Source organism: Homo sapiens, chromosome 17 (genome assembly GCF_000001405.40).
Source record: "Homo sapiens chromosome 17, GRCh38.p14 Primary Assembly".
NCBI classification, from domain to species: Eukaryota; Metazoa; Chordata; class Mammalia; order Primates; family Hominidae; genus Homo; species Homo sapiens.
The window spans coordinates 15047346-15053345 of record NC_000017.11 but is presented as its reverse complement, the minus strand read 5'-3'; the positions used below and the strand labels follow the sequence as shown (position 1 = coordinate 15053345).

The 6000-nt window shown below is 39.3% G+C and overlaps 1 long non-coding RNA gene across 1 annotated transcript in view; it reads right to left on the bottom strand.

Annotated features, from left to right (window-relative positions):
• Positions 1–1069: 1069 nt before the first annotated feature.
• Positions 1070–6000, bottom strand: part of LOC101928475 (uncharacterized) — a 37472-nt gene continuing 32541 nt past the window's right edge. The window contains exon 2 of the long non-coding RNA NR_135638.1: positions 1070–1991. This is a non-coding gene — a long non-coding RNA (uncharacterized LOC101928475). The remainder of the gene's footprint in view (positions 1992–6000) is intronic.

The following is a 6000-nucleotide window of genomic DNA, read 5'->3' as shown; positions in this document are numbered from 1 at the left end:
TGGGAGGAAGTGATAGAATCAGTATAACTTGGAGGCTATGTCTAAGTGGCTACATTAGTACTCATTTTATTTTCTATCAATTTTCTCAGTCTGTCCTAATATTCCTAGTAGGATCTTGTAGATCTGACTCCTCCACCTTTCTCACCTTTTCCCTCATCACTTTTACCTATTCCATTTTTTTCCTATGAGTATTGGATAAATGTCTGGGATTTGTCATCTATTTAATTCAATTTTCTACAGAATCTAATCTTCTGTTTGTAGTGAACATAGTGATTTTTAATCCAGTAATCTTTTTAATGCCCATCTCTCTTGCTTGGAGATGATTTTCTCCTCAGGAATGCTTAATGAGGATTGATAAATTTAATAGGCACTTGAAAATTAAGCCCACAGATTAGCAGTTTTCTAAAACCTTCTGCTCTTTCTTGTAGCAAATTTATTTAACAGAGAAGGATTTGCGTCAAATTTTCAGTGAGGTACCGTTTTTTGAATGCGGTATCTTTTTTTTTTTTTTTGACTGTGCAGGAGCCTCACAGTTTTTTTATTTTTCTTAAATTTTTTATTTTATTTTATTTTTTATATTTTTAAAAAATATATATATTTTATTATACTTTAAGTTCTAGGGTACATGTGCACAACGTGCAGGTTTGTTACATATGTATACATGTGCCATGTTGGTGTGCTGCACCCATTAACTCATCATTTACATTAGGTATATCTCCTAATGCTATCCCTCCCCCCTCCCCCCACCCCACAACAGGCCCCAGTGTGTGATGCCCCCCTTCCTGTGTCCAAGTGTTCTCATTGTTCAGTTCCCACCTACGAGTGAGAACATGTGATGTTTGGTTTTTTGTCCTTGCGATAGTTTGCTGAGAATGATGGTTTCCAGTTTCATCCGATGTGATATCTTTTCTAAGTCTTTAAATTTTTCTTCTTTGGTCCCATTCTTGTAGAGGGAGTTCTTTCCTTTCTTAAGCAATAAGGATGATAATATGTTCTGTCAAAAATTGGTGTGTGGGAAGGGGTGTTCCTGCCCAAATTCTGTAGTCCCAGATGAGAGAAAAACAGAAAATTTACATTTTGCTATGCATTTATATTAGGCATTCAGTAGCTTGGGGGTTTGAGTGGATGTTGAGAGGTGACGAGTAGGCAGTCACAGCTAGACAAGTCTCCGTTGTGCAGAAGGGCGTCTCTCTATTTATTTTGGCTGAGGCAATGTGAACTCCCATGATGGATTAGGTCAGGTTGAAGTGGGGGGCAGTGGCCTGCACTTTGTGTATCATGGCTCTTTGCCCCACTACCTGCCCTCACCCCTCTGAATTAGGGAGTGTGAGTGAAGTTTTGACAGGATCTTCTCCATGTCGAAGTCCACTCTACTGTTTGATGAGAAAAAAAGTTGTGAAGCAACAAAATCAGACCTGTTGTACACTAAATCTGGCAGCAATTTATCCTAGTTTTATTCACTTCTCAGTGAAAGTGCTTGCATGGGTCATTTCCAATATTGAGGTCATCTGGGAGGCTAGACTTTATTTCTGCTTTTTTCTCCCATCTTGCAAAGATGAATCAAAACCTATACTTTTGATTTTTAAAAGAAAGTCTTCTCTTGTACAACCTAAACTAGTTTGCAATAGTGTTTATGAAAAGTTAGAGCCTTGAGACAGTTGCAGATATCAACCTCTCAGGCACAAAACCCTTCTCGGAAGTGGAATACCCAGATTTAGAAAGGTGGAGCTCATAGCCTTGATGACATTCTGATTTATACTTGGTTGATTTGAACACAACTAAAACTGTAAAACAATTTGTAGCACCATCTCTCTGAATGACAGGCTTTGTGCATGATATTAGAATCAGCCATGATATTTACAGTCAGGAAACTTAGGCGAACTGATCAATGCTGTAGTCAACAGGCTTGCGGGAAGCTTGAGATCAACCACCACTCCAGCAGAACAACCTTGATCAGAACATTTACCATTCCTGAACTTTGATTTCTTCATCTGTAAAGAGAAAGGGGGGACCCTTAAAATCTCTGAATATTATACACACACATGCACACACATGTATACACACATACATTATATACCTATACATAGTCTTCTTGTATGTATTTGAGATTTTGAAGCAAAATTTCTAAAGAGAGTAATAGTTCCACAATAATTGAAGCAGTAGAAACTGCATTCATTTGGTTGTATAAGTTCTGGAAATTTTATTTAAAAAGCATTCACATCATCTTGCATAATTAGCCACCTGCATATTCTTGGTACCCAGCATACTTCATAAGACATTGTAGAAAGTCAAAATATATTTGAAGAATAAATGAATGAACATATATAACCTCATTTGTAATGTTATTTATAGCATCACCCTTAGATTTGGGCACCCAGGGTCTTGCCCTGTAACTGGAGATTTAACAGGCTCACTCTTTCTCCTCCTGCCACAATCCTCATGGACTGAGGAACCCCCAAGGCCAAAGGTTCATGTCCACCTACAGCAGCCTCCCCTCATCCCCACCCCACTCAGCTCCAGGTACCTGACATTGGGAAATTTTCTGTCAAGACAGCCTCAAGCCTGCTTCTAGGGCCTGCTAGAGTCTCTCTCTTGGACGTCCCTCACAAAGATATGCTGTTTTATAAGTGTTACCACCCCAAAGCACAAGAGGTGACCAAGGTGGCTCACAGGAGTGGAGGTGGAAAGAGTCCTCCTTGCCACAGAAGGCAAGGTCTAGGAGTCTCCACTTTACTCTTGCCCCAAATTTGGTAAAAGGAACAGGCTGGGTTATTTCAATCATTAGCTCACTTTACCCTACATCCCAACTACACTCACACATAATGCTTTAAATTTGAGTTAGAAAGACTCAGTGATCCTTACAACATACACACGAATGAACAGAATATTGCAAGGAAAAATATGTGGTCACTACCGTAAACCTTCTATTACACAGTTACACTCTGGTCCAATATGTAAGGCAAAGTACAGATTCTGCAACCCAGGACTGGGTTTGTTTGGGGATCCAATACGGATCTATTATAACAGTTTGTAGGTGTTGATAGAATTATAGCATTTATTTCCTCTCTAACCCCCTCTCCAAATCTTAGTTAAAAAGAAGCTTTGTTTGCTTGGTTTTCCTGGTGTGGATTTAAATATTTCCATTTTCCATGCCCATATTAACATTTGACCATCCGTGTGATGTGCCAATTTCTATTTTGCCCTTCAAAGGTTAAAATAACACCCACCCTTAGAATTCCCCTCACAAAGCACAAGGAAATCCCTCCTAAGGCACAGCGAACCAGCTAGACTTCATAATTAGCTTCTGTAATGAAGTACTTAATCGGAATAGAAGCCCTTACTAATTACAGCAGGAAGTCAGGGCAGGCGGGTTACCCACAGCTGGGGTGAAGCACAGGCAGAGGTGTCTGTGAACACGCATCCGCAAGGGTCCAGGTTCACACAAGAGCCCTAGGCCTTAATTAGCCCCAGCAATTAAAAATGAAAACAATCCTCCATTTTCTCATTAAAAGATGAAACCACACCCCCCCAAGCACCTTACTCTGAATGATAATTTTGCTTCTGCAAAGACCCCAGCTACTGCAGATTACCAAAGACAATGGTTAGTTCCTGGGCTGCAAGACCTGAGTCACCCTTTTGCTTGCTAAATTTCAGGCACCTCTGCATAATAGGAGATTGATTAGGGTTAATAGACTTATTTTTTGCAGGTCAAGACACAAAACACTTTGGGTTGTGGGCGCTCTTGCACATAATATCCGAAGCTATAAATCAAACTGCTTAATGGAAGCTCAGAGCTTTCTGTCTCCGAACTATTGGTAACAATTGACTTTTGTTCCTCCCCTGCTACCGTCTCTCTTTCCTCTGCTTCTTCTTGTAAATTCAGCCACAGAATCAGTCTGATAGATAAAGGGTTGTGATTTATTTACTCTACAATGTTTTCAGAAACCTAGAGGTGAGGTATGGTTCCTTGGAATTCCTGTGTTTGTTTTACCTCCATTTCTAAGGTAACCAGTGGCTAGCAGCAGCTGTAACCACTGTCAGCATCTGTCAATCTCACCTAGACCTGATGGTCAAAAGTAATACAGCTGGATGAAGAGATTTAAAAATTAAAAATGAAAGAAAACTGATCCTCAGGGGAGAGTTTGAGAATTTAGTCCGTGGGACCCAGGGCAGACTGGTAGGTCACTGAGTGCATAAGGAATGCAATTGCCATTGGCAAATTATCCCAAGAAGGAAAGCCACATGCAGCGGGAACCTGTTGGAGACTGCCTCTTAAAGTTATGCAGAAAGAATCACTGAAAGGAAACTGTCTCAACAGGAGGAAATGTCAGAAAATGCTTCCCTAGAAAATGTGATAAAAAATTTAGAAAAGTATCTGGCTATGAAATTTAAGAACATTTGGGGGAATGTTCTTTGCACCTAATTATCAGTGCTTTCTGCTTCTTTTCTCTTGGTGAGGGATATTCTTAGTCCAAGGATTTTTTTTCCCCCTTCAAATAGAAAGAAAGCAAAGCTGATTTTCATATATAAGTTGGTTTGGTTTTTCATCAATTTGACAGGATCATTCCAAAGATGTTGCCTTATTTGATTCTGAAACATTATTGAGAGATTTACTCTACTGAGTAACTGAGGACTCACGAAAAATACATTTGATGATATCTGTAAGTTTCTTTGATGACTTGTTCTTTCCTATCCCCGTTTTTGCCTGAATCTTTTTTTTCCTCCTTCTTTCTACTCAGAGCTACATGGCTCAACCACAACCACAAGGAGTCAGTAAGTGGGCAGGTTTTCTCAAACTTCATAGAGCTGTTACTCTACCTGGCTTCTAAGGGGAGACCTGGGAGTTGAGAGAATGAACATAAAATAGTTTGGGTCAGGAGTGGAAAGGGAGGAAAGATTAGAAGGAAACAAGAAAAGCAGAATAATGCACTCAGAATCTGATTTTTATGTTATGGTATACTAATATGGATTTTCCTCCCTTTTTAAACAACATAGAAATTCTTAGTAGAATCTACACATACAGTTTAATAGCAGAAGTAGATGGAAGTCCCTTGATGCCAATAATAATAGATACCTAGTCATAGTACCCCTCTCACCCTCAGTAGCCTCTGGCAGCCTTGCTGAAGGCTGGGGCCATCAGACCTGGGAATGCAGCTGTGAGCTGGGACTAAGGTTTTGTTGCCCTAATGGAACTGGAGGAAAGGAGGTGTATCTTTGGCATTGCATGAAGTGGGTGGCTGTAATTGAGCTCCCTTCTACATAGCCAGGATCCTCAAATGGCCTCCAAGTTTAGAATAATAATAACAAAAAGAAAAATTTGTCTCCGGGCTTGGAGACATTGTAAGAAAGCACAGGGTCTGTCTCAGGCTCCAAGTAAATCTTTAAAAATTAGACAATGTCCTCTGAAAAATCAAAATGTCAAGTCTGCACTAAACATGGGTATAAATTCTGAATTTATATGCATGGTGTGATAATCCCAAACTGAGAAATTGACATAAAGTGGTCCAGAATTCACTGTGCTCCTGGGAGAAACCAATAGAACACTATTCTTAGGATCACTCAGACTATTCAAGAAACCCTCAATAAAGCGGGTTCATCAAGGAAGAACTCATAAGAAAATTACGATACAGGCAAAGAAGCAAAAAACCATGAATGAGAATTATTAAGGCAGCAGATAGGAGAACTAACACCCAGACAATTAGAAACATAGCAAAAAAACCACCTGAAGAAGATTAAAAGGAAGATCTAAGATCCTTTCATTGTTTGAAGAAGGCAGAGAGGTTGATAAAACTATGTTGAATATGTTTGCTAAAAATATAAGGATAATGAACTGAGAAATAGGGAAAGAATGTACAACTTTTGAACAAATCGAAGGAAGAGAAGAAAATTCCCACATAATTCAATAAAAAGCAAGAAAGGAGGAAAATAAATGGAGAATGATAATTAAAAAATTAGAAGGTAGAAAAGTGTTCAGATATGCCAGTAGTTCTAAGTGTAAAC